At 39.3% G+C, this 26,688-nt stretch overlaps 1 protein-coding gene and 1 long non-coding RNA gene across 11 annotated transcripts in view; one reads left to right on the top strand and one right to left on the bottom strand.

Annotated features, from left to right (window-relative positions):
- The window catches only part of AGBL1 (AGBL carboxypeptidase 1), a 951,857-nt gene that overhangs the window by 210,839 nt on the left and 714,330 nt on the right, over positions 1-26,688 (top strand). For 7 of the 10 annotated variants that reach the window (XR_007064423.1, XM_011521227.4, NM_152336.4 and 4 more), the window contains one exon: positions 4,797-4,950. Coding sequence is in view for 8 of the 10 variants with exons in the window: in XM_011521227.4 (XP_011519529.1) it covers positions 4,797-4,950 (154 nt within the window). In the remaining 2 variants the exon portion in view is untranslated. Of the gene's footprint in view, positions 1-4,796; positions 5,799-26,688 lie in introns of those variants that run through there. The other 3 variants (XR_931751.4, XM_011521228.4, XM_017021921.3) reach the window with 2 other exon arrangements.
- Positions 6,375-26,510, bottom strand: AGBL1-AS1 (AGBL1 antisense RNA 1). Its single transcript, NR_046012.1, has 4 exons — positions 26,272-26,510; positions 21,674-21,924; positions 14,454-14,626; positions 6,375-6,616 (listed from the first exon to the last, which is right to left on the bottom strand). It is a non-coding gene; the product is annotated as an AGBL1 antisense RNA 1 (long non-coding RNA).

A 26,688-nucleotide genomic window follows, 5' to 3' on the forward strand; every position in this document is an offset into this window, starting at 1 on the left:
TCCCACCTCAGCCTCCCACGTAGCTGGGACCACAGGTGTGCACCACCATGCCCAGCAATTTTTATGTATTTTTAGTAGAGATGGGGTCTTGCCATGTAGCCCAGGCTGGTCTTGAACTCCTGAGCTTAAGCAAACCACCTGCTTCGGCCTCCCAGAGTGCTGGGATTACAGGTGTGAACCACTGCACCTGGGCCAAGTCCTTATTTTCTTATTATTTTTTATTTATTTTTTTTATTTTATTATTATTATACTTTAAGTTTTAGGGTACACGTGCACAGTGTGCAGGTTAGTTACATATGTATACATGTGCCATGCTGGTGTGCTGCACCCATTAACTCGTCATTTAGCATTAGGTATATCTCCTAATGCCATCCCTCCCCCTTCCCCCGACCCCACAACAGTCCCTAGAGTGTGATGTTCCCCTTCCTGTGTCCATGTGTTCTCATTGTTCAATTCCCACCTATAAGTGAGAATATGCGGTGTTTGGTTTTTTGTCCTTGCGATAATTTACTGAGAATGATGATTTCCAATTTCATCCATATCCCTACAAAGGACATGAACTCATCATTTTTTATGGCTGCATAGTATTCCATGGTGTATATGTGCCACATTTTCTTAATCCAGACTTGGAACCAACCCAAATGTCCAACAGTGATAGACTGGACCAAGTCCTTATTTTCAATAAAGATAAGGTAGTATGTTGTCTGAGCTTTTGTATGTCTGAGCATACATGCTACATTTGCTCATGAGCAAAAACTTGGTTGGATATAGGTTTATTAGATTATAATCCCCTCTTCTTTCAAGATCTAAGCAGTACTCATTTCCTCTAGCATGTAGTGTTGCAGAAGAAATATGAGCCAAGAATGATTTTTTTGTATACATATATGTACAATGGGTTTATTTATGCACACACACAGAGACACATACACACACACACCACACAGAGACACATACATGTTTAAAAATAATCTTCAGTGTAGCATGCAAGTGTCATTCTATGCAACAATGAGCAGTGAGTTAAGATTGGCAATCAAACACACAGGTTAGGCTTTATCCAGAAGTAAATTTACTTATCCATAAGAAAGAATACAGAGAAGGCAACAAAACAGCACACATAGAAAGGGCTTAGTGAGAGTCTGGACTCCCAGGCACAGCTTACTTTGTCCTAGTAACTCCTCACTATGGAATTATGTGGTCATGAGAGATTAGGTTGAGTGGGACATATCCATCTCAGCCTAGGAATACTATCAGCCTTGGGCTTCCTTCAGATTTCATGCTTAGCTAGTTGTGTAGGTTGTGTGTGTGTGCTTGTGTATGTGTAGTTAGTCATCTTGTATTCTCAGGGGTATGTGGCTCCCTCCCAATCTCCAATGCAGGTGCATCTCATCAATACCTGATACTCGTTATTTGATGGACAATCATAACAATTACATACAAAGATTTGGTTAGATACATGGGCCTCTGCTGGATTTTTATTTATCTTGAATCTGGTATAAACATGCTTCTTATAATTCCTTTACTTAGTGTTGTGTCAAATCCTGGCTTTCTGGAACATCACAAGAACAACCTGTTTCTAAGACACAGTTGGGTTTATTGCTCATGTTGGCATGGTAGGCAGAATAATGGACCTCCAAAATGTCCACATCGCAATCCTGTGAAGATGTTACTTTACATGGTAAGGGGACTTTGAAGATGTGATTAGAGACTTTAAGATGGGGAGATTAACCTTGATTATCAGATTGGGTGCGGGGTAATCACAAGAGTCCTTATAAGTGAAAGAATTAGATAAGAGAATCAGAGCCAGAGAAAAAAATGGGACTGAATGGATGCAGAAGTCAGAGTGATGCAATTTTTGGCTTTGAAGGTGGAGGGAGGTACCATGAGTGAAGGAATGCAGGTGACCTCTAGAAGCTAGAAAAGGCAAGGGAAGAGATCTTGTATAGAGCTTCCAAAAGGAATGCAGCCCTACTGACACCTTGAATTTTGCCCAGTGGGACCCATTTTAGACTACTGACCTTCAGAACTATAAGATAATAAATTTGTGTTGTCTTAACCTACAAAATTTGTGATGATTCCAGCAGTAGTAGGAAACTAATTTACTTGACAAAGGAGAAAGAATGGGACAGAGTCTTACTAGTGTCTCAAAGGGCAGAGGGCAAAGTGGGGATATTTATTGAGACCTTAAAGCCTGGCTTAAAGGCAGATATTTTAATGTGGGGGCATTGATTAGGGTTGGGTAAGGATCACCAAGTAATGGTTTAAGATTGGTGGACACTGTAAGGCAAGGATTTTGAAAAAGGGTGAGAAGAGGGATTCAAAGAATCTTGGCTCAAAGATGGGTTGATGCTTTCTATTGAAGAGTTGATGGGATATTCCTGAAATGAACAATATATTTATTTGTAATTTCTGTCTTCCCAGAGCAGTAAGGTTATGCTGATGAAGGTTGGGGAATAATAGTCATGTTAATGTAGACAGTAAGCTATGTGTGGGTAAATGATTTTGGTTCTCAGTTTTAAGGAGAATATGACTCAAGGTCAAATTTTCAGGTGCCCCTGAGGCTAGAGAAAGGCCATAGAATTATCTGGTAATCTTTTCTTTTCTTGGCACTTTTTCTTTTTCCTTGCAATTCAACTATTTCAGTAGAGTATAAATAGGTTTTAGTCTATTCCTATTCAGATGTCGGGATTTGTACTTACTTTAGGACATTCTTTTTCCCTTGTATGTTAGTTGTCTATTGCTGCAGTAACAAACTACAAAAAATGTAGTGGCTTCAACAGGAACAGGTACTTTTTTTAAAAAAAATTGTACAGCTTTTTAGGTTAGAAGTTTGACATGAATCTCACTGGGCGAAGACCAGGGTTTTGGGGTTGTGTTTCTTCTGGAGGCTCTGTGGGGAGAGTGTGTTTCCTTTCCTTTTCCAGCTTCTAGAGGCCACCTGCATTCCTTGGCTGGTGATGCCTTTCTCCATCTTCAAAGCCAGCAAGGGAAGACTGAGGTCTTATGGGGCCAGCAGTTGTTCTCTGCAGCCAGGAAAGGGCCTCTGCTTTTAATCATGTTGTGATTAGATTGGCCACAACTGGACAGTGCAGGACGACCTCCCCATTTCAAGTAGACCTTAATCTTAAACATGTCTGCAAAGTCCCTTTCACCATGTGAGGTATCCTACCAAAGGTTCTGAAGGTGAGAACGTGAACATCTTTGGGGGCCACTATTCTTCTTACCATATCTGTAGTAAGTTATTTCCACATGTAAATACTTCCTCTACCTTTTGAAGACACTACTTCCCTTTCCATATATTTTATATATTTGTCAATATTTTTACATATTCATTTTATTAAAAAATTCATGAGTTTTTTGTTTCATTTACCCAGCAGGCTAGTTATTTGTCAAGAAACAAGGTGGGCGGTTTCTCCTTGGCCCTCTTAATACCTCCTTGATTGTGGAAAAAACTTTCTACATTTTAAGCTGGGAGGATAATTTTTGGGCAGTGGTGTTTTTGTGCTACAGAGGGGGCAGTGTTTCCCTCTCTGGTTACTGAAATTTCCACTGTCAGGGGATGCAGTGCAGGTGGGGAAAATCTCTTAGCCTCTCTATGACTGGTGCCCCTGTTTTGATTAGGGAAAATTTCTTCGGAATTCTTAAAGATTGTTAACCAGGGGCGGGATGTGGTGGCTCATGGCTGTAATCCCAGCACTTTGGGAGGCCAAGCAGCGTGGATCACCTGAGGTCAGGAGTTCGAGATCAGCCTGGCCAATATGGCAAAACCCCACTCTCTACTAAAAATACAAAAATTAACTGGGTGTGGTCGTGGGTGCCTGTAATCCCAGCTACTCAGGAGGTTGAGGCAGGAGAATCGCTTGAACCTGGGAGGTGGAGGTTGCAATGATCTGAGATTGCGCCACTGCACTCCAGCCTGCCTGGTTGACAGAGTGAGACTTTGTCTCAAAAAAAAAAAAAAAAAAAAAAAAGGATTGTTCACCAGGTGTCCTAATTTCAATGGCTATTTCATTTTTTTTTTTAAATGAGTATTGGGGAGGTATGGTAGGAAAAATTTGTTGCTATTAGTTAGTTGTTCTTTTAGCTTAGCAGTCCCCCTGGATTAACCACGTCTATTATTTTTTCAATGTGCTCACATTTCTCCCTATTACTTTGCCCTGTGATACTATGTGCTGTAGAAGTTTTCTGTCTCATTTTCCCCAGTGTTCTGGGCATGTTCTATTTTCATGATAACCACATTTTTTTTTAATTTTAAGGAAGGCATGCTTAGATTTGTCTCTTTTCTTTTTAAATTGTTTGCTAATTTTTATTTGTACAAATTTATGGGTACGCGTGAAGTTTTCTTACATGCATAGATTGAGCAAAGGTCAAGCCAGCACTTTTAGGGTATCCATCACCCAAATGACGTACATTGTAGCCATTAACACATTTCTCATGATCCTCCCCCACCCCATCCCCTGACCCTTCCGAGTCTCCATTTTCTGTGATTTCCTCGTATGTCACAGCGATAGGAAGAGGGCTTTATGCCCCTGCCCTCCTCCCTCTTGCTTTCAGTGCAACTTGAAAACAGATCTTCTGTTATGCCAAAACATGCAGGAATGATGCTTCCTGCTCAGTCTCACTGAGTTTCTCCTACACAGTAGAAATAGCCCCCTTTTAATCACTCAAGGCCCAATACATAAAGGACAGATTAGATTAACAACAATACTTCTAAACTATATGTAAGCCGTTGTTGTTTTCTATTATTGTTGTTATAAAAAATGTTGATAATATACATGCCTGCTTTATTTCTGCTCCAGACTCATCTTGACATCCTGGAAAAGAGTGTCAACCTCAAAGAGGTCTACTTCCGGCAAGATGTTCTCTGCCAGACGCTGGGAGGGAATCCGTGTCCCTTGGTGACCATCACGGCCATGCCTGAGTCCAACAGTGATGAGCATCTAGAGCAGTTCCGTGAGTAAAATGGGATCCTCTTCGTAGAAGATTTGACTAAGGGTGTCCTTTATAGTCTTGGAAGCATTCTGTCTCTTTTAGATCAAAAGCTCCATAAAGGGTTGGAGACTGTCTGTCTTTGTAGAAATACACCCCCAGCTTTTCTTGGTGTGACACAAAGGTTAAACATTAATGTTGCTTTGTTGTTAAAGGGAGAGAAAATGAAATGAATTCAAACTGTCCGGCAGATGAAATGACAGTTTGCTAATGATGGTCACTTCCTCTCTTAAAACAGAACCAGGACCCTGAATCATATTTTCCAACTTCTAATCCAGGGACTTTTCTCACTGTGCTCACTGCTGTTATGTGACTCTCAGTCAGTCAAGGTTTGGAAAGAAAGAAAGTTGAGTTTTTAAGCCCTGGCTAAAGAATCCCCTTGATAACCTGAATACCATTTGTGTCTGAAGGGCTGAAGATGTGGACAGGCTCTAGCTAAGAACTTTGAAACAAAGTCAAAGCCAAACTCATGCACACACACGCAGACACACACAAATATACGCATATGGACATATAGACAAACACATAGACACATGTAGACACAAACATATACACAGACGTGTAGACACAAACATATACGCCTAGACGTGTATACATGTGTAGACACAAACATATACACAGATGTGTATACACGTATACAGACACGTACACACAAACATCTTTAAATGTTGGGCTTCTGTGCCTAAGTGCATATGTGCGACTGACCTGTTGACCTGTTACGAACTAGCTTTTGAAAATGGCTTCTGACATCATTTCAGACCTTAGGTAGGCAAAAAAAAAAAAAACAAAAAAACAAAAAAAAAACACCCAAAGAATGAGGAATGTTTTGTGATACAGAGAAGTTTTGGAAATTAAAGAAGAAGCTGGATGCCCAGCTTAATTTATCCCCAGAAGATACTGCCTTCCGTAATGAAGATACAGCCTTCCCTGGTGAAGATACAGCCTTCTCTGAGGAAGATACAGCCTTCCCTGATGAAGACATAGCCTTCCCTGGTAAAGATACACCCTTCTCTGAGGAAGCTACAGCCTTCTCTGAGGAAGATACAGCCTTCCCTGATGAAGACACAGCCTTCCCTGAGGAAGATACAGCCTTCCCTGATGAAGTGCTAGCCTCATTCAGGTGACTCTTTGGTAGATCGGAATTATATTTTCTCACACCCCATCAGCATCTGACAATGGATGCTTAACAACCTGGCAAATCAACAACCGATTAACCCATCTGGATTAATGAGGCCCTAAAATGCTTTAATGAATAATAAGGGATTTTCCAAAAATTCTCTTCTGTGTTTTATGCATTTAAGAGCAATTTCTGTAACAGTCACAGAGTACCCCCCGTCAGCAGATGAGCAGTGCTTGGGAGCTGGAGACAGCAATCCTCCCAGGGTAACTTTCATTGAACAATTATTTATTTAAGAAAGTGGATGTGTGTAAGTCTGAGCTTCTTTTTCTAAAAAAGAGTTGAGCAGAACTCTGATGTATCATTATGACATAGAAGTGCCTCCGTTTTTGCATTTTGTGCTGACATTGGTGTTTTTGTTGCTGTTATAAATGTGGAGAGTATTCTTACTTTAAGAAGAGGACTTGAAACATGCAAAGGCCCTTAAATAATCTGGCACTCCAACAAATAGTTCTGTTAAAAAAAGAGAGAGAAAGAGAAAAAATATCTCTTAGTACACCCTTATATGAATCAAAAGAGGCTGGTTTCTGCTTGCTCTGTAAGATGGGTTATAGTAAGTGTACACTCTTATGATCATAACAGCTTTTTTTTCTTTTAAACACATGCTAACATATCCGATGTTCATCTCAAGAAGTATCAGATAAATGCTATGCATTTTCTTTTTGTCACTTGCAAATGACAATCATTGAGCTAGATCCTGAGGAAACCAGGCTTTGACCTAGATGAAAGGGCTAGTTAGGGCCATCTTCATAGGTGTGTCACCTATACATTTGCAGAGCTCTCCTGCTTAGAAGGGCCATGCACTCTGCTTAATGCTTTTCTGCTACTATCTTTATAAAATTCTTTACAAAGTTTTAAACAAGGGGCCTTGCCTTTTCATTTTTCTCTGGGCCCTGCAAATTACATAGCTGGTCCTGGATGTGATTTAAGGTCATAAAGGTAGAAAGTGGCAAAGGCCAGTGCCTTTCTGATACTACTCTTCTCTGTTTCCAAATTATGCATGAAGAGCTTTAAGGTTTAACCTATTTTTCCCACTCCCTGAAAATACTATTTGTATGGATTATGTAGCTGATTGGTATCTTTCATCATGGGGATTAATTTCAGGACCCCTTATTTTACAGATGGGGTAAGTGGAGCTCAGAAAGGTTAAATACTATGATCAGTAGAGGTGACAGATTTTCAACATTGTTATTCTGATTCCAGACTCCACACACACAACAAACGTGCTGACTCCTTTGTTATAACACATGTTCAGCATCAACATTTTGGCTTCACTCTTGGAGCCATAACTTCCTCTCTTCCTCATTCTGTCCTCAAATTATTAGATACTAGCTGAGTTGTTAAAGCATTTATGCTAAATTGACCACAAATAAGTGTATTACTCTCTTCTTGCTCACAACGAATTTTATTTTCCTTTCCTAACCCAATGGAAGCATTTTCATGGTGAATGCTTCAGATACTGTGGCAGGAAGGGAGAAAGAAAATTCTTTCTGCCTGAAGGCCTTTCTTCATACCCAGCAGATCCCAGCACAGAGCTGAGATTGCATGACCTAAGCCACGTGCTGGGGCACAGTTTCAGCAGGGCTACATAATAAAAATGTATACAGGGTACGTGTCTGTGTATAATATATATATATATATATATATATATATATATATGGTAACTATATATATATGGTAGCTATATATATATAGGTAACTATATATATGGTAACTATATATATATGAATATATTCTTATATATATATGAATATATTCTTATATATATATGAATATATAAACACATGCCGTTGCTGTGTTTCTAAAAGAAGAAAAAAAACCCAGCCCAGTATAAACACTGCCTACCCTTCAAAGTGCAAATAACCATGCCTGTAAATCAGAAATGGAACTACTTATTTTCCTTTGAATTATAAAATGTGATGTATTGATTCAGGAGAAAACAGCAAATGAGCCTGCAGCTCAAGATTCTCCTGCCTCCAGGCCTCCCTTCAGGTGAGATTAAATTGTTTTACCTGCTTCCTGCCTCTCAGGGACTAGGGTAGCTTCAGTGTGGGATTGCATTTAGCTGCAATTTAGCTAGTTTCTGGTTCAGTAGCTGTCACTCACCCCTCATAAGGAGGCATGAGTGGAAATAAAGGTTTTCTCTCCACTGTGTGGGATTATTACTTGAGTCTTACTTTAGAATTCCATGAAATAAGACCACGGCTATGGAATGCTGGGGGAACTCCCCTCTCAAGGCTGGTTCCCCTGATGATCTGGTCTAAAGTCCTGGACCTGAAGATTACTGAGGACAACTTAATGATTACTTTTAGTTCCTCCCAGGGTCTGAGCTCCAGAGAGTCTTCCAAAAGTGTTTATTTTGTTTGATTTATTTTTCAAAAGCATTTTCTTTTTAAAGTTATTTTCCTGAAAACATTGAGCCTTACTTTCTTGATAACTTATTTTCAGTTGAGTCGTCACCAGATTTGCCAGCTGTGTACTTTATCACTATTTGGAGAACTGAGGACAGTCCCTTTTTGAAATGCTCCCAATAAAGAAGACTTACTACTTTACACCTTGATATTTGAGCCCTCAAAGCCAAACTGTGGCAGGTCTTCAAGAGCAAAATCATTCTCTGCCCTTTTCAGTGGGACAGTGAACAGGGAAGTTCTCTGGGAGATTGTCACTGAAGTCATTATGGAAGAGGGGGGCTTAAGGAGAAAATGACGGTAGCAGGGAACCTTTACAAAAGGATCAACAGCTCAGCCTGGCATCAGGGACTCTGAGTGATGAATAGGCGTTGGGCAGTTAGGAAGCCCAGGCCCTTCCTAACTAGTAGGATTTGGGATGTCAAAGGAAGCCAGGCAGGGCATTTGGGTTTTGCACAGCAGAACGGGAGTGAGGAGGAACACACAGAATCCAAGAAAATGGAACAGGAGCTCCAACAGGTTGGAGCAGAAGATATCCCATAAGCTGTTTGGGAATAGGCTTGGTAGGCACGATCAGTCCAGGAAATTCTTTTCAGTGCCTTCTGAGCCTAGTCTCCATTGGTTAATGGTAGTCTGGCATAATTACATTTAGCCTACTTAAATCCTTCAACACATTATATGTGAATAGGTACTTTGATTAGCATACCCTTTGAATATGCAAGCTTCCAGGTAGATTTGAGAAGTTTTCTATCTTTAGTTTGTATACTCTTCCAGAATGGGATATGTCGGTGGGTGGTGTGGTATCTCCTTTCTTAAATTTGAACTGAGAGAAGATGCTGAATTTAAGCAGAACTAAAAAGCAATCAGAATAAAGAGTCTTGGGGGGTCATTATTTATCTAATCCTGGAAAGAAGAATGATTCTACCTTTGCCCAGACTCAGCCATTTCCGAAAAACCATGCCTGTTTTCTGTTTCTTCTCACACAGATGGAGTTGCCTTTGTGTGGAAATTCCTCTTAGTAATGAGCTCTTGGCCTTCCTATACTTGTTGTCTTACCTCCATTTTGCAGATGGCATCCATCAAACATATTCCCAGATACCCCTCTTTAGGCTTTGGTCTTACTGGACTATTACCCAGAAATGCACACAACCAGAACACACTACTTAGTGAAGGCTACTATCATTTTTTTAACTTCTCCATTTTTTTCTCCACATTGCTCTCACAACCTCGCATTCTAAATGACCATTTTAGCCTGGAGAAAGTTGAGTCCCATTTTAGTTTGGAGAGCTATATCTCTGGAAGATGCTTCATTTTTCTTAGAAAGTTTATTGCCAAACTGGACATCTCTACATTTAGACCCTATAACAACATTGTCTTGACTGTCCTCATGAGTGATCTGAGAGAAGGAATGAATTTGTGGGAATTTTCTGAGGGAAAATGTCATTCTCCTATTAGAAACCCTCATTCTCTAAATGAATAGTCACAGGCTGATTCACTGGTGAGAAGTCAAGAAACAACAAAGGTGGCTGGGAGGGGGTGGATATGCTATTTTTGCAATCTGAGACACCGCCACCCTGCATTTATTATAATCTAAAACAGCAAAGCATAACCTTTCTATGTTTCTGGAGGTGAGATAATCTCACTCCCCTGCCACAGTCTCCTATGGCTCACAACTGTTCTTTCCAGGGGGCCTGAGGTGGGGAAAAGCAAGAGGCTGCATTTGCAGTTGTTAAAGAATAACTTTCTTTTTCTTTTTCTTAAAAATATTCTTACAAAAGCAATGTTCTATTCAGCCTGCCATTATGCTAAAAGCTTTTCCTTGGAAGACAATAGCTGTTCTCAGAAAAAAGATTTACATGGGGTCCCGAGGGTGTAATGAGCTACTGCGGCACCTGCCTTGGGTTGGGAGTTGTCACTTGTAAGTGGTTTTAAATTAGAAAGGAGTGGAAAAATACACAGTTACAGAATTCCCCTTTTGGCTTCTTTGCAAATCATTTTCCACTCTCTCTGGCCTTTGTCTCTTTCTAAGCCTCCTGATCAGGTGTGAAGAACAGAGCTTTCCGTTGGGGAGAGCTGGAAGTGACAACAGTGGTTGGTCCCAGGAAAACAGAAACTCAGGCGAACTGCAAAACTCTCACTCTGGACATTTCTGTTTTTGTACCTCCCAGAGACATGTGGGGACAAGTATCACTATGGGATTACTGAATTTTAGAGCTTAACAATCCATAAAGACTATTGAGTCCTGATTTCTCAATTGCTGGTGAGAGATTGGGCTGAGGGACATAGGGACATGAGCTGGACTATCTAGGTTACCTATCTAGTTGGTGGCAGAGGTAGTTCTAGACCTCAGCCTCTTGTCTCTTGGCAATCTTTTTTTTTTTTCTGGAAAGTGATGCTTTTGACAAATAGTACAGCTAAAAAAAAAATTAACTACAAGAGCATAATGAGTTCTCTCCATGGAAATCTTTAATAAAAGAAGTCAGAGAAACTGAACTGTGCCCTTTTCTTGTCTTGGGATTTCCATCTTTTCAGGCAACCTGGGCTGAAGATATTAGGAACACATAGATAAGTATTATTTAGTCTTTGTCACTGAGGTACTCATAATCTACAGGGTGTGTGTGTGTGTGTGTGTGTGTGTGTGTGTGTGTGTGTGTGTGTGTGTGTGATGTCAAACGGGTCATTATAATACAGAAAGTTTTAACAGGGGTGAAACTAAGTTCAGCGGAAGCACAGAGAAGAGAGGATGTATCTTCATGGTAAAATCAAAGGGGGAGTTTTACCCACCATGGTCACCTGTATAAACTCCACGTGCCTGGTGGTCTTGTATTGACACAGCTTTGCTTTCAAAGAAAGCTCAGTTGGCAATCCAAAAACTATTCTCATGACTCTTTCTTGAGAATACATGAAAAGTAAAATATATAAAACGCATCAAAACCATCTTAAATTTGTTTTTCCTCATTTTTCTCACTGTTGTTGATCTGCCTGCATATCAACAGTGACTCACCATGATCCTACCCTCTTCAGATACAAACCCTCAAGCTGTGTGACATCGAGGATGGTTGAATATCTCCTTTCTGCTTTCCACTTTGGCCTAGTCACTTTAATAATAAGAAGTCAGGAATCCTTCCTCCTTCTAAGGCTGGTTGAAGTGGGTGGGAAAGATTGTAAAACCTTAAAGGTAGTTGAATAGCTTGGCTAACACCCTATCATGTAAATATTTTATTCTTATACAGTTTTACATAATATCATTTGGTTCTTATAATTATCTTATGAATTAAGAAAGACAGTAATTATTACACCTATTTTATGGATGATAAAAATTAGATTCAGTGCCAATGCCATTGATTTACACTTTGAAGTCAAACTTCTATATGCAGAGAAATGGGGGCAATGTCTTTTCAAGTAGAAACATAGCATATGCAGAAGCAAGGAGACCTGGATATGGTGCTTTGAAAATCTCAGGGTGGACAGGTGTGGTGGCTCATGCCTGTAATCCCAGCACTTTGGGAGGCCGAGGTGGGTGGATCATTTGAGGTCAGGAGTTCAAGACCAGCCTAGCCAACATGGTGAAACCCCATCTCTACTAAAAATACAAAAAAATGAGCCGAATGTGGTGGCACGCACCTGTACTCCCAGCTACTTAGGTGGCTGAGGTAGGAGAATTGCTTGATCCCAGGAGGTGGAGGTTACAGTGAGCTGAGATTACACCACTGCACTCCAGCCTGGATGACAGAGTGGGACCCTGTCTCAAAAAAAAAAAAAAAAAAAAAGTAAATAGAAAATCTCAGGGTACAGGACTACAGAATTGTGGAATGAGTATGGGGACAGCAGATAAAATGGGAAAAGTAAGTTGGGCTAAATGATAGGTAGCCTTCTTTTTCATGTTAAAAAGTTTTTATTGAAGGCAATTATGAGCTAATAGGATGTTATTAAAAGCAGAGAAATGACAAGATCAGATTTGTTTTGGAAAGTTTTGTGGCAGTAATGTAGAGGAAAGTTTGGGGTAAGGAGGATAGTGGTGTCATGGAGTCCAGCACAGAGGAACTCTGAAGCATTTACGTCTTAGACTTACTGGGGTTCAAATATTGGCTCTGCCATTTGTTAACTTTATGACCTTGGAAAAGACGATTAAACACTTTGTGTCATGGTTTCCCCACATATAAGTTGTGGATAATAATACTTTTTCATAGAGCAATTTGAAGATTGTAAAGGGCTTAGAAGGGTGTCTCCCACATAGTGAGTGTTCAAGAAATATTATCAGTTGTTGGTCAACTAAGTGGGTGATGAGGTTTCAAAGGAAGATAGGTCTAGGGAAATGGGAGGGAGGGGCCTAAATTTAAGAGATGTGTCTCAGAAGTGAGACATCCTTGGTGACTGGCTGAGAGTAGGTATGAAGGGTAGGGAGTTGAAATATTAATATTTCCACTTTGGTTGGTGGGTGGATAGTTGAATGCCAACAAAGAATATGTGAAAAAGAGTAAGACTGTTGTCGGGGGATAAGAAGTTTGGTTTTGGAAATATACATTTTCAGAGGCCTAAAAATTATTTAAGAACTAAGGCTAAATATAATTATACAGCCAATATGCTATAAAATATACTCTATTTTAGAGAGAAATAAAACAAATTTTATACTACCTAATTTTCTCAATCAGCAAGGATATCAGAGTTAATTCTATACAGTTATTACAGCAGAAACATGTAATATATTTCATCAGAATCAGTCCTAGAACATTCTATTCTACAAATTTGTTCATGTGATATAATGATTTGCATATTTCAAGGTCATTATTTACAAAACAATTACATATGACTAATACCTCACAACAGCCCTGTGAGGTAAGAAAAAAGAAAGAATTGGATGTATTATCTCCATGTTTAGATGATGAAATTGAGACCTGAGAAAGACATATAATAAGTAGGAGGTAGAGCTTGGATTTGAACCAAATCTGAATTCTAAACCCCATAATCGTAACTGTTGTACTGACTGCCTCTTTCAGCTGTGCAATAATGAGGGAAAATCCTTTACCTTCAAGATACAATCACCCATATGTCAGAAGAATTGTTTACACTACAAGTAATATGTTCTAGGCTCCTCCAATGGTCATTTAAACACTAATAACCCTTATAATTTTAGTAAAATCTAAATATTACTGCCTCTACAATACTCTGCATTCCTCTCCCACCCGTATCTAAAATGCTTCATCCCTACTAACCTTCTTTCTACTTATTGAACACAGCAACCTAACCACCTCCACTGGGTCTCTATATCTGCTGTTTCCTCTGTGTCCAACACTTTTTCTCCATAGCTATGCATGGTTGATTTCTCCTTGTCATATAGTATTCATGCTCACGTCAAGGAAGTCTTCCCGGATCATGATATCTAATGTTGTTCCCCTACTCCGAATCTCTTTATCACATGACCTTGCTACTTTTTTTCTTCATTGCCTCTATGACTGAGCTCCATGAAAGCACAGACTATATGTTGTATTTTTTTCTATTGTATGTCTTTGAACTAACACAGTCTCTGCATGAAGCAGGTGCACAAGACATGTTTATTCAACAAGTAAGTGAAATCCCTGAACCTGTTCTTGCTCCTAGCCACCATGTAGGACCTTTAACCTCTCTTGGAAAGTTACCTCTTACCCGGTTATTTCTTGGGTCCCCAAGGGTAGCCACAAATGTGCTCATAAAGCAGCTATTGGCTATGGTCTCCACACCACTTCATTCTTTCCCTGATGCTTGGACTTCTCTTGGTAGTTGTTTGTTTTCCTTGCAGTCTCGAAAAGGACTTTTGCCATTGCTATGTTTTCAGAGAGTTACTGGATTCCATGTAAAGGTAGGGGAATAGCCCTCTCCAAAACTGTGCCACACATCCACACTACCTCAAGTGGTATGAGTCTCCTCACGTTTCTGGTGAAAACAGCTCCATCATCACAGGCTGGATGAGGATGAGATGAACCCCATGCCTCCAAGGTTCAGATGCCTTTCTCTTTCAGGATTCTTATACCCAAGGAATAAAAACACAACCAATGTTTCTCTTTCAGGATCCTTGCACCTAAGGCAGAAAAACACAACCGATTTGTCTTCCATTGTTATTAACACATGTCCTGAGGGCTGGGTAATTAGCAACCTTGTCAGTTCCCCAAACTCAGGATATAAGACGGTGCTAGCCAGGCATGACCATGAGTTTGCTATTAAAATTCCCAATAAAATATGTGGTTTTCATAAAGCAAAACAATACAATTTATTGTTCATGGATATTTACATGTGTAGAGAAGTATAAAACCATGCTGAAGGAAAGCTACCGCCAGATTCAAGATAGTGATTCCATCTGAGGAAGGAGAAAGGGAAAGCGAAATTTAAAGCAGAAAGGGAAAGCAAAATGAAATCTAAATCTCATCTATTGGGGAGTTTGTATTTCTTAAAGAAAAAGAGTTCTAAAGAAAATATGTAAAAATGTTAATGATTTTAAACATGGGTGTCTCATATTATTTTCTGCCTCCAACTATTTTTATATTTCATGTCTAAAATTAAAAAACTAAAAAGTGTCAACATGTCATCCTTGTCTAACAAATGCATAAATTAGAGTTAGAAATGTGAAAATAACTCCATATTCCTCCTATTACTACTCCTCAGACAATTACTGTTAGTAGTTTTAAATTTATCCTTTAATACACAGATGCATGCACACACACATGCACACTCACATACTGACGCATGAATACATATGTACAGAGCCTTGAAATTTAGGTAAAAAGTACTTAAATTGGCCTTCTTGACAATTGAAGTCTGTGACTTCCTTTGGAAATCCAAATCTCTTTCCCATTAATCTGAGACTTGACAGCCTCGCCAGATTCTGTGCTACCACTTTACACTCCCACAAAGTGTAAGAGATTATTTTCTTCCATGGCTCAGTCAACAATTTTATCTGTCTTCTGCATTTTTATACTTAATAGTTTTTAAAATTTTTTTTAATTTAATTTTTTTTATTTTTAATTTTTTGGTGGGTACATAGTAGGTGTATATATTTACGGTGCACATGAAATGTTTTGATACAGGCACACAATGTGAAATAAGCACATCATGGACAATGGGACATCCATCCCCTCAAACATTTATCCTTTGAGTTACAAATAATCTAGTTACATTATTTAAGTTATTTCAAAATATACAATTAAGTTATTATTGACTATAGTCACCCCATTGGGCTATCAAATAGTAGGTCTTAGTCATTCTATTTTCTTGTACCCATTAACCATCTCCACCTCCCCCTGTGACCCTCTACTACCTTCCAAGCCTCTGGTAACCATCCTTCTACTCTTTATCTTCATGAGTTCAATTGATTCGATTTTTAGATCCCACAATTAAGTGAGAACATGCAATATTTGTCTTTCTGTGTCTGGCTTATTTCATGTAACATAATGATCTCCATTTCTATCCATGTTGTTGCAAATGACTGAATCTTATTCTTTTTTATGGCTGAATAATACTCCATTATGTATATGTAACCACGTTTTCTTTATTCATTCATGTGTTGAGGGACACTTAGATTGCTTCCAGATCTTAGCTATTGTAAAAACAGTGCTGCAATGAACATAGGAGTGCAAATATCTCTTTGATATACTGATTTCCTTTCTTTTGAGTATATATCCAGCAGTGGGCTTGCTGGATCATATGGTAGCTCAATTTTTAGTTTTTTGAGGAACTTCCAAACTGTTTTCCATAGTGGTTGTACTAATTTACATTCCCACAACAGTGTGCAAGGATTCCCTTTTCTCCATACTCTCAACAGCATTTGTTATTGCCTGTCTTTTGGATAAAAGCCATTTTAACTGTGGTAAGATGATATCGCATTGTGGTTTTGATTTGCATTTATCTGATGATCACTGATGTTGAGCACCTTTTCATGTACCTGTTTGCCATTTGTATGTCTTCTTTTGAGAAATGTCTATTTAAATCTTTTGCCCATTTTTTGATCGGATCATTCAATTTTTTCCTATAGAGTTGTTTAAGCTCTTTATATCTTCTGGCTATTAATTCTTTGTCAGAGGGGAGTTTTAAAAAATCTTAACTCTCTTGCCCCCCTCCAAAAAGAACTCACCATTTTAGTGTTATTCTAATTTGTATTTTTGGGGGCGTGACTCAGGTGGTCCATATTTTAAAATGTTTGTGATTTTCATTTCTTCCTTTTAAATTGTTTATTTTTAAAATCATTTGTCTGGTTTGTCTATTATGTTAGATGATTTGTTCTATAAATGATTTATGAGGAACTCTTTGAATATTAGGAATATTCCTCTGTGTTAAACATGGATTCATTCATTTAGCAAAGATTTATTGATTATTGATCATTTTACTAAATATGGGAACATTTTCTCCCTGTCACCTCTTTTTAAATTTGTTAGTTTTTTTTTGCTTAATTTTCATGGAATCTAATATAGTAGTCTATTTTTTACACTTGTAAGCATAATGTGTTAGGAAAAAGTTTCCCTTTTTACAGATGATGGAAGTAAGACCTAGGGAATAAAAGTGATGTGCCTGGTTGCATAGCTATTAAATATGGAGTGAGAAATCAGAATTTAGGTCTTCTCTCAGCAGCATAGGGTGGCGTGTGCCTGTAGTCCCAACCATTTGAGAGGCTGAGGTGGGAGAATCACTTGGGCCTAGGAGTTTGAGTCTAGTCTGGACAGTATAGTGAGACCCTGTCTTAAAAAAAAAATTAGGTCTTCTCTAATCAGACAAACAGTTTTGTTTTTAGTATCTTATAAAATAATTTATATAACATATAGACCTAGATTAAAGAACAATAATAAAATGGACATCTATGTATACACAATCCAATTTAAGAAATATGACATTTACCTATATTTTAGTCCCCATAACAATTTGCTCAATGGCTTTCACTCATACTACCTCAGAGTAACTACCATCCTGAATTCTGTGCTAAATGGTCTTTTGCTATTCTTTATACTTTTAAATCACATATTTATATATCTCTGACCATCTACTATTGAGTTTGCCTGTTTGGGACTTTACATAAACAGAAACATTATATAATTCTATTTATAATTGCTTATCTTATTAAACATATTTTAAAGATTAAACTATGTTAACATGTTTGAGTTGGCATCTGAGTTACTCATTTTTCATTGCTCTATAACGAATTCCTATGTATGAATTTAGGTCAGTTTCTCCCCTAGAATTCATGAGTTGAAACCCTAATCCCCAATGTGATTGTATTTGAAGTAAGGAAGTAATTAAGGTTAAACAAGATCATATGGGTGGGGCCCTGATGATACTAGTGTTCTTATAAGAAGAGACACAAGAGAGATTACTCCCTTTCTCTCTGCCATGTGAGGACACTGAGAGAAGATGTGGCCATCTACAAGCCAGGAAGAGAGCCCTCTTCAGAACCTGACCTTGTTGGCACTCTGCTATCAGACTTCCAGCCTCCAAAACCGTTAAAATAAATTTCTGTTGTTTAAGCCACCCAGTCTATAATATTTCTTCTAGGTATTTTATGGTTTTAGGTCTTACATTTATGTTTTAAATTCACTTTGAGTTGATTTTTGTATATGGTGTAAGATAAGGGATTGATTTCATTCTTCTGCATCTGTATATTTAGTTTTCTCAACAACATATATAAGAGACTGTCCTTTCCCCATTGTGTACTCTTGACACCTGCATCAAAGATCAATTGACCACATATGCATGGATTTATTTCTGGCTCCTTATTCTGTTCCATTGGTCTGTAAGTTCGTTTTTATGATAGTACCATGTGGAGTTGGTTACTACAGCTTTGTAGTATATTTTAAAATCAGGTATTGTGATGTCTCCAGCTTTGTTCTTTATTTTTCTCAAGATTGCTTTGGCTATTTGGGATCTTTGGTGGTTTCATATGAATTTTAGAATTGTTTTATCTATTTCTGTGAAAAGTATCATTGGAATTTTGATAGAGATTGAATTGGGTCTGTAGATTGCTTTGGATAGTATGGCAATTTTAACAATATTATTTCAACCCATGAACATGGTATACCTTTCCATTTATATGTGTCTTCTTCAATTTATTTTTCAATGTTTTATAGTTTTTAGTGTGGAGCTCTTTCACCTCCTTGGTTAAATTTATTCCTAAGTTTTATTTTTATGTTATTGTAAATGAGATTTTTTAAATTTCCTTTCAAATAGTTTGTTGTCAGTGTATAGAAACACTGCTGATTTTTGTATGTTAAATTTGCATTCTGCAACTTACCAAATTTATTAGTTGTAGCAGTTTTTGTGTGAAAGTCTTTAGAGTTTTCTACATATAAGATTATGTCATCTACAAACAGAAAAATTTTTACTTCTTTCTTTCCAATTAGGATGCCTTTTATTTCTTTTTCTTGCCTAATTGGTCTGGCTAGGACCACTAGTACTATATCGAATAGAAGTGGTGAGAGTAGGCATCCTTGTCTTACTCCTGATCTTAGAGGAAAAGCTTTCAGCTTTTTGTCTTTGAGTATGTATTTAGCTGTGGGCTTGTCATATTTGGCCTTTATCATGTTGCAGTAAGTTTCTTCTATAACTAATTTATTGAGAGTTGTTTTTATCATGAAAGGATATTGAATTTTATGGCATTTTATGCATCTGTTTTAATGACCATATGATTTTTATCCTTCATTTTGTTAATGTTGTGTATCACAATAATAACATTTATTGTTCATGTTTTGTAACACATTTGTACATGTTGAACATCCTTGCAGCCTAGAGATAAATCCCCCTTGATCATGGTGTATGATGTTTTAATGTGCTCTCAAATTTTGTTTGCTAGTATTCCATTGGCAATTTTTGTATCTATGTTTATCAAATATATTGGCCTATAATTTTCTTTTCTTATAATATCCCTGTCTAGCTTCAGTCATAGAGTAAAGCTGGCCTTGAAAAATTAGCTTGTAAATGTTCCCTTGTCTTCAATTTTTTGGGAGAGTTAGAGAAGGACTGGAGTTAATTCTTTAAATACTTGGTAGAATTTACCAGCGAAGCCATCAGATCCTGAGCTTTTCTTTGTTGGGAGTTTTTTGATTACAGATTCAATCTCCTTACTTGTTATTGGTCTTCTGTTAATATTTTCTGTTTCTTCATGATTCAGTCTTGGTAGGTTTATGTTTCTAGGAATTTATTCATTTCTTTGGGTTGTCTAATATGTTGCCACAGAATTGTTCATAGTAGTCGCTTATGATCCTTTGTATTTCTGTGGTATCAGTTGTAATGCCTCTTGTTTAAAATTTTATTTAAACCTCCTCTCTTTTTCTCTTACTTAGTTTGGCTAAAGGTTTGTCAATTTTGTTTATTTTTTTGAAAAAGCAACTCTTAATTTCATTGATCCAAAGATTCTTGGTGGGCGTTTGGCATGATCCACAGGCAGGCTTCCTGTTGGAGTCCTTGGGCAGGTGGCTAGTTCCAGGGTCAGCAGGTGAGTGGGTCTGTGCCTGGATTCACTGAGGGGAGCCTAAAGCTGGGATCTGCTGGGGGTGGCCCTGAATCTTAGTTCTCCAAGGGTCAGCCTGGTGCAGGGGGCCCCTGGGGTGGACCTGTTCACTGGATCTCAGGGGACTGGCTTGGAGCCTGTGTTCGCAGGGGCTGAACGAGCACCTCTACTGAGGCAGGGTTGGACCATGGGTCCACTGAGGCATGGAGCCGTGGGGGCCAGCCTAGAGCCTGGGGCCACAGAAGCTGGCCTGGCAAAAGCATTTCTATTTGCCTCTGTTAGTCAACTGAGAGTGCTAGCAAACTGGGATGACCATATTCTCTACTATGGATTTTTGGGATCACATATGGATCATAAATTCAAACGTATGTGAGGATTTGCTTATCATTATAAATTCCTAGGGAAAATTTGACATAAAAAGCTGTTCCTGCTCTCCCGTTCTGTGAATTAAGAGTAAAGACCTTTGGACACTTAGCTTTATGCAGGGATTTCCTACTGGATGCCCTGCCGTGGGTGGGCCCCGCGCTTCACTCCTGGTTCCCTGCGTCCCTTGCAGCCCTCAGAACAGAAGCTCAAGGTCTCCAAGGCTCAGTTGAAACCTTCAGGGGGAGAGACAGGCTTCGACGCTTGCTTATTTTCCAAGTTGTGTTTTTGGTTTCCCTTTGTTCTTGGCACTTACAGATTTATTCTTTCAGACCAATTCAGCAATGCATCAAAAATGACTTTTGAAAAGAAATTCAACATTTTTGTTGTTTCCTTTGGCAGGTTGTTCAGAATAGTTAGTCTATTATTCTGCAAAAAATGGAAGTTCTTACCCCCTTGATCTTTCTACTTTACATGCTACTTTCTTCCATTAGAAAGAAAAATGAAAGTCTATTTTTTGTTTGCTATAATGGATAATATGAATTTGAAGGTCTGTTTGTAATTTGAAATAGCATATCTGCTATTCTACGTTTAGAATTGACATTATTCCTGCTGAAAAGAATACGCTTTCTTTTATGGTTCTTGGAATTTTTTTTTCCTTAGCAGATAGTAAGAATTTTAGTGAAGAAATATTTTGGAGTTCCTGAATTAAGATTCCAACCAAAACCCGGGTTTTCTCCGGGGCTTCCTATTTTTTTTCTTTTTTTTGACATCACGAATATCAACAGAAGAGTGTGATTTTTATTTTTTCCGCTTGTAAGATGACTAATTTACCCAGAGGCACCTCATGTGTGTTTTTAGTCACCTGTATCCAACATCAACACCAGAAAGCTCAAAAAGACAAGTTATTCGATATACCACACCCAGCTGTTCTGATCTGTGAGGCTTGCTTGAGGTACCTTCAGCTGCGGAAGGAGCTTGTTCCCTTGCAGCTGGTGGAAATTCTCTCAGTCCCAAGATGGAACTTCTAAATTGTAACTTACAGGGCGGGTGTAATTACAGTAATTGGGACAGTGAATAATTCTCAGCATAGCTGATCGATGTTCCCATGCTCTCAAAAATCAGGATAGAGTGATGTAGTAGAACCCAGATATGAATCCTAGCTATTTTTTCACAATGAATGTTCATGACCTAGTGGGAGTCTTCATTTCTCTGTTAGAGTAAGTGATGAGTGATTATGGCCACAGGGACATCCCCTCACCCCAAAACAAAACTTACAGTCACATTCAAGCCAGATTACAGAATGCTGAGATTGTATTGTACTACCACTTCTTTCTTCTTGAAAGCAGGGATTGGATTCAGTAGAGGAAAACCGATGTGAATGATGTGGCAATTTCCAATTTGTTGGTGGTGTTTTCCTACTGCCATTCGCCCAGGCAAAGTTGTAGAAAGGAAGTTGTTTGGCCAGACAGGAGATTGTCAATAGCAGCCTCTCGAGGCGGTAGCTGGGAGCTCACTTCACTGATTCCCTTCACAAGAGAGATTTGGAAACACAGGTTATGAGCTGAGTCACTGGGCAAATTAACTGCCCCAAATGTGATAATTAAAATGTATGTCCATGAGCCACCTTGGTAATGATCAAGTGATCAAGTTCTCCCCTTAAGCAACTGTGCGCATTGTTGCCTTTCCTGGTAACAGATGATCGCATTAAGAGCTTGCATGCTGCAGCTCAGAGGGAATTGGTGTTACCCCAGTGTCCTATGTGTATCTTCCCTGCAGCTGATTTTCTGTGGCTCATTGAGCAACGAGTCCAGGTGGCAGCTGTGGATTTTGACATCCCAGAATTTTACAGGGCAAGGGCATTCTCAACATGTAGTGATGCACATCCCGTTAGGAAGTGGCTATTCATGAAACTGACAGGGTAAAGCCCTAATTAGAAAGACCAGCAGGGCTCTCTGTACCCCAGGATGCTTCAACAGAGCTGTCACTGTCTCCCCTCAGGCAGGATCATTGGGCTGAAACACTGAGCAAAAAACATTTTGTTCAATGTTCAACAAAAATAACTCCCATCATTAGCAACATGACAAGTGAAAGGACCTGCATGTCAAAAGAAAAGGATTTATGCGTCGTTGTAAATAATGAGTGATTCTAAAAACTTTAAGCTGCTGGGGAAGCAGCTTTCAGCTTCTGGAAGGTGCTGTTGGAAACCCATAGAGTCAAATGGGTATGCTTCTCTGGTTTTCAGCAGATGGAAGCTTAATTTGAGGTTTTGGGAACACTTTAGTCATGGTAAGAAGTGGGGGACACCTGAATTTGAATCATGGATTATCTCAATATTTTGCAGGACTTATTTCTTTGAGGTCGATTTTCTTGGTCTTTAAAATGGAGGGTTGTAAGTGACTATCTTCTTTGTTTAGGTATATAATGTAGTCTTGTTTATTCAGATTCTGAACTCTTTAGAAAAAAAACAAAGAATTCCCACATACCAAATTGCAGTCTAAGCACACTTACGCAAACAACATTTATTCCTTATGATTAAAAAGAAATGTAGCCAGAGGGTATGGCAGTTTCTTAAGTTGTTATGAAAAGCAAGAATCCTTATCTTAATTTCTTTTCAATCAATAACAATTTCTAATTCACAAGGAAAAGGAAAGCGAAATAGAAACTGTCTTCCTTTGAAGGAAGCTGTGATGTAATGATTTGCTGGGCAACTTACATAGTTTAATTAAGCACTCTGATTAAATCAATATGTATCCAACAGTTCAGCCTGGCAATCAGCTTAATCTCATTAACTGTTGTTCAGACCCCAATAATTGATTAATAATACATTATCATTTATGAATTATTGACTTCAAGTTATTATAATTGTCCTGCTTTGTTCATAGCACCTGCTGCCACATGTTAATTATGAAATGCTCAAGCACTTTCTTGGAATAACTTTAGAGATAAAGCTGATGGGGTTTTTAATGAACCAAGATTATCTTTAGTTCAGAGCTGGTCAGAAGAGCTAGGCTTTTTCAACCCTGTATTGTTCATTAAGTGGGAGCAGGCATTTAGCATTTTTAGAGCTGAGGCTCAAATAATTAGAGACAGGGTTGGAAGGCACCCACACACAAGTTAGATGATGAGCCCTACTAAATGAGATGGGTGATATCAGAATCATAAACGCCTAGATCCTTACTGCCACAGGATTCTGCTTATTGAGGCTATCTGAATATATATTAAATAGGTATCATTCCTGCTCTCCCTCCTGGTGCTTATAGTCTATCTTTGAGGTTTGGATATGCCCAAGGGTATTTTAGGAGAAGGAACTGACCTCTCCTGGGTATAGGTGGGATGGGTAGGAGCTATTCATGGAAATGGCCTCCCACTCTGAGAGAGGCCTTTGGCCAAACAAGAGGAGTTACCACACCTAAACCAGGATAGCCTGTTGCATGCTACTTCATTTGCCTAGTTCTGTTTAGTTATTTTTTCTGGCTAGTAAGATCTTCCTTTAGAGTGCCAGCCTGGTCTATGCTGGGGGAGTCAAGACAGGAGCTGGGAATGAATTCACATTAAAAAAGGGCATGGTGTCCCCATGGCCAGCCTGGTTTTGGCAGCACAGTGAATTCTTGCTTGATATCCAAAAGAAGGATGAAATTTAAGGAGCAGGAACCAACTGGAGAAATTCTATGGCCCCTTCCTCTATGGTGGGTCTCTTTGCACAGACATTTCTGTAGGACCTGGGCTTAATTTTATTGAAGACACCCTGGGAGGCATCATTATCACCACCTCTGGTTCTTAGCCCAAGAGGAACCCTTCACTCAGGAATGAATTGGAGCTCCCGCTTGTAACAGTGACTGGCTTTCCTGAGACATTGCTTCCCCAGTAGGAAGTCCCTTTAATCCTGAGCACCTCACTCAGAAACCAGCCGTGTAGGAAGTGAGATTTAATCTTCAAGCTCCATCTTTTCTCGTTGTGAATTCCATAAAAAGCCATGTTTTCAAGGGCATGTTTTCCAGGAAATAAGGCATTTTGATAGAGTTGTAAAACATGGGCTTGTCATCAGACTTGGATTGGAAATCTCGATTTTCTGAATTTTGGAAAGTGGCTTAAACTGTCTAAGCTTCGGGTTCCTTATCTGTAAATAGGGATAATATTCCCACCTTCCTAAGGTTGTGGTGAGGATTAATGAGGTAAGGTATGTTTTCCTAACACAGCGTAAAGAGAGGGTGCTTGTTAAATACTCATACCCATAATCTTTCACTCCATCCTCCTTGTTCATTGCAAGCTGAAATGTAATTGCCCATTTTATACAATGCCATTTTAATACCCAGGGTAACCCGAAAGCCTTTCTAATGGTGAAACTCAAATGGATAGGCAAGCTACTGAAATGTAATGTCAAGAGTTATAGCTCAGGTGTAGGTATTGGAGTCACTCTTATCTGCACTCACATTTGGGCTTTCTCTCAGAGTAGCTAGGTAGACTTCTAAAGGTATTGACTGTTGGGCAACCTAGTTAAGCCTCAGTTTCATCATCTGTAAAATGAAATACCTGTAGTATTTTCACATATGACTATGGTAAAGCTTAAAAAATTCGTGGGGCCGGGCGCAGTGGCTCACACTGGTAATCCCAGCACTTTGGAGGCCAAGGCAGGCGGATCACGAGGTTAGGAGTTGGAGACCAGCCTGACCAACATGGTGAAACCCCGTCTCTACTAATAATACAAAAAAAAACTAGCCGAGTGAGGTGGTGCGCGCCTGTAGTCCCAGCTACTTGGGAGGCTGAGGCAGAAGAATTACTTGAACCCGAGAGGCAGAGGTTGCAGTGAGCTGAGATCACACCACCGCACTCCAGCCTGGGTGACAGAGTGAGACTTTTTCTCAAAAAAAAAAAAAAAAAAGTATATGTAAAACACAGTGCTAGGCACACAGTAGATGCTCAATAAAATATTAGTCCTCTACCTTCCTTTTATTTCACACGGGAATACTATAGCTAGCATTTAACTCCAAAGTGGCACTGGTCAAAGGGAAGGATATAGCCTTTCCCATCTGTAGTTTCAGAAAATACCAGAGGGGAGGAAATAGCAAGCATTACAAAACATCCTGCTTCAGCCTAAAGCTCTCAGGAAAAAACCTTATCTATATTTAGTACAACAAGTTAGAGACAGCTTTCAGCAAAGACTAAAGCACTATCTCATTCATTTTATTCAAATGAATCCAAATGTATCTAATTTTTGCTTTGGCAAATGAATTTCCTTCTATCCCTCACCTATTTCTTTATTCCTAGCTTGTCTACTAAAGATAGACCCATGAAGGATGCCTAACAGGGTCCCATGACAGTAGTGTAAAAGGTTTAGAGGAAGTTACAGGGGAGAAGTGTCCTATCTTAATGACTGAAACTCTGTTTCCGAGTTGAAATAAATCCCAACTCATCTTGGAGTGAAAGGCTCTTCCAGAGGCCCCAAATGATTCCTTAGAACTTTGAGCTGTGCTTGATTCATTTTTTCTTGTATTCCTCCTCTTTCTCTCCTACACGGCTTATACTAAAGAACCACACCCACTCATGCCGTGGGTGGACAGGAACAAGCCATCAAACGCAGGAGTGAACGGAGTGGGTTTGGAAGCCTGACGGCCCTGGCTCTCATGCCTGCTCTACCCCTCGGTAATTTGAACATCTGTCTCCTCCTCTGAGAAACCCAGAGGTCAGTCATTGTGGAGGTGACCCCACTTCAGAGGATTCAGCAATCAGTGGGTCCCTTGACTTTCTGCAGGCCACCGAAATAATGCTCTTCCTGTCTGACTAGATTTTATCTGTGAGGTGGAGGAGCAAATTCATGGTAAGGGAAAAATGGGTCAGAGGGTCTGAAGATGACAAGACCACATTTTCCATCTTACCCTAACTGTTGTCTTCCTCAGCTGTGCTGATAGCACTCGTCTGAGCTCTGCTGTGTGAATCTCCAGTGATTTGGCCAAGTCACTGTGTGTCCTCCTTTCTGATCTCAGTTGAGCACTCGGTCTTGATCCTTGACTTCCTGTTTTTCCCTCAGAGCAGGAGACTGAATCCTGCCAGGCTGAGGCAGTCCTGTGAGAAGCAGTGCTCTTGTGTAGGATGATTGTGGAAGCTTGAACTGGGACTTTCAGGGCTATGAGCCGTCCTGTGAACAAACAGAAGACTTCAGTTTCCATGGCCGCCAGTCTAGCATTATCCCCTCTTGCCATATTCCTTCACAGCATTTATAAACATGCAATTTGGTATTTCCTGCCTCTCATCTGTTTCCGGCTTCTTCCTCTCCATCCTTTCTTCCAAAGGGA

Source organism: Homo sapiens, chromosome 15, assembly GCF_000001405.40.
Source record: "Homo sapiens chromosome 15, GRCh38.p14 Primary Assembly".
NCBI classification, from domain to species: domain Eukaryota; kingdom Metazoa; phylum Chordata; class Mammalia; order Primates; family Hominidae; genus Homo; species Homo sapiens.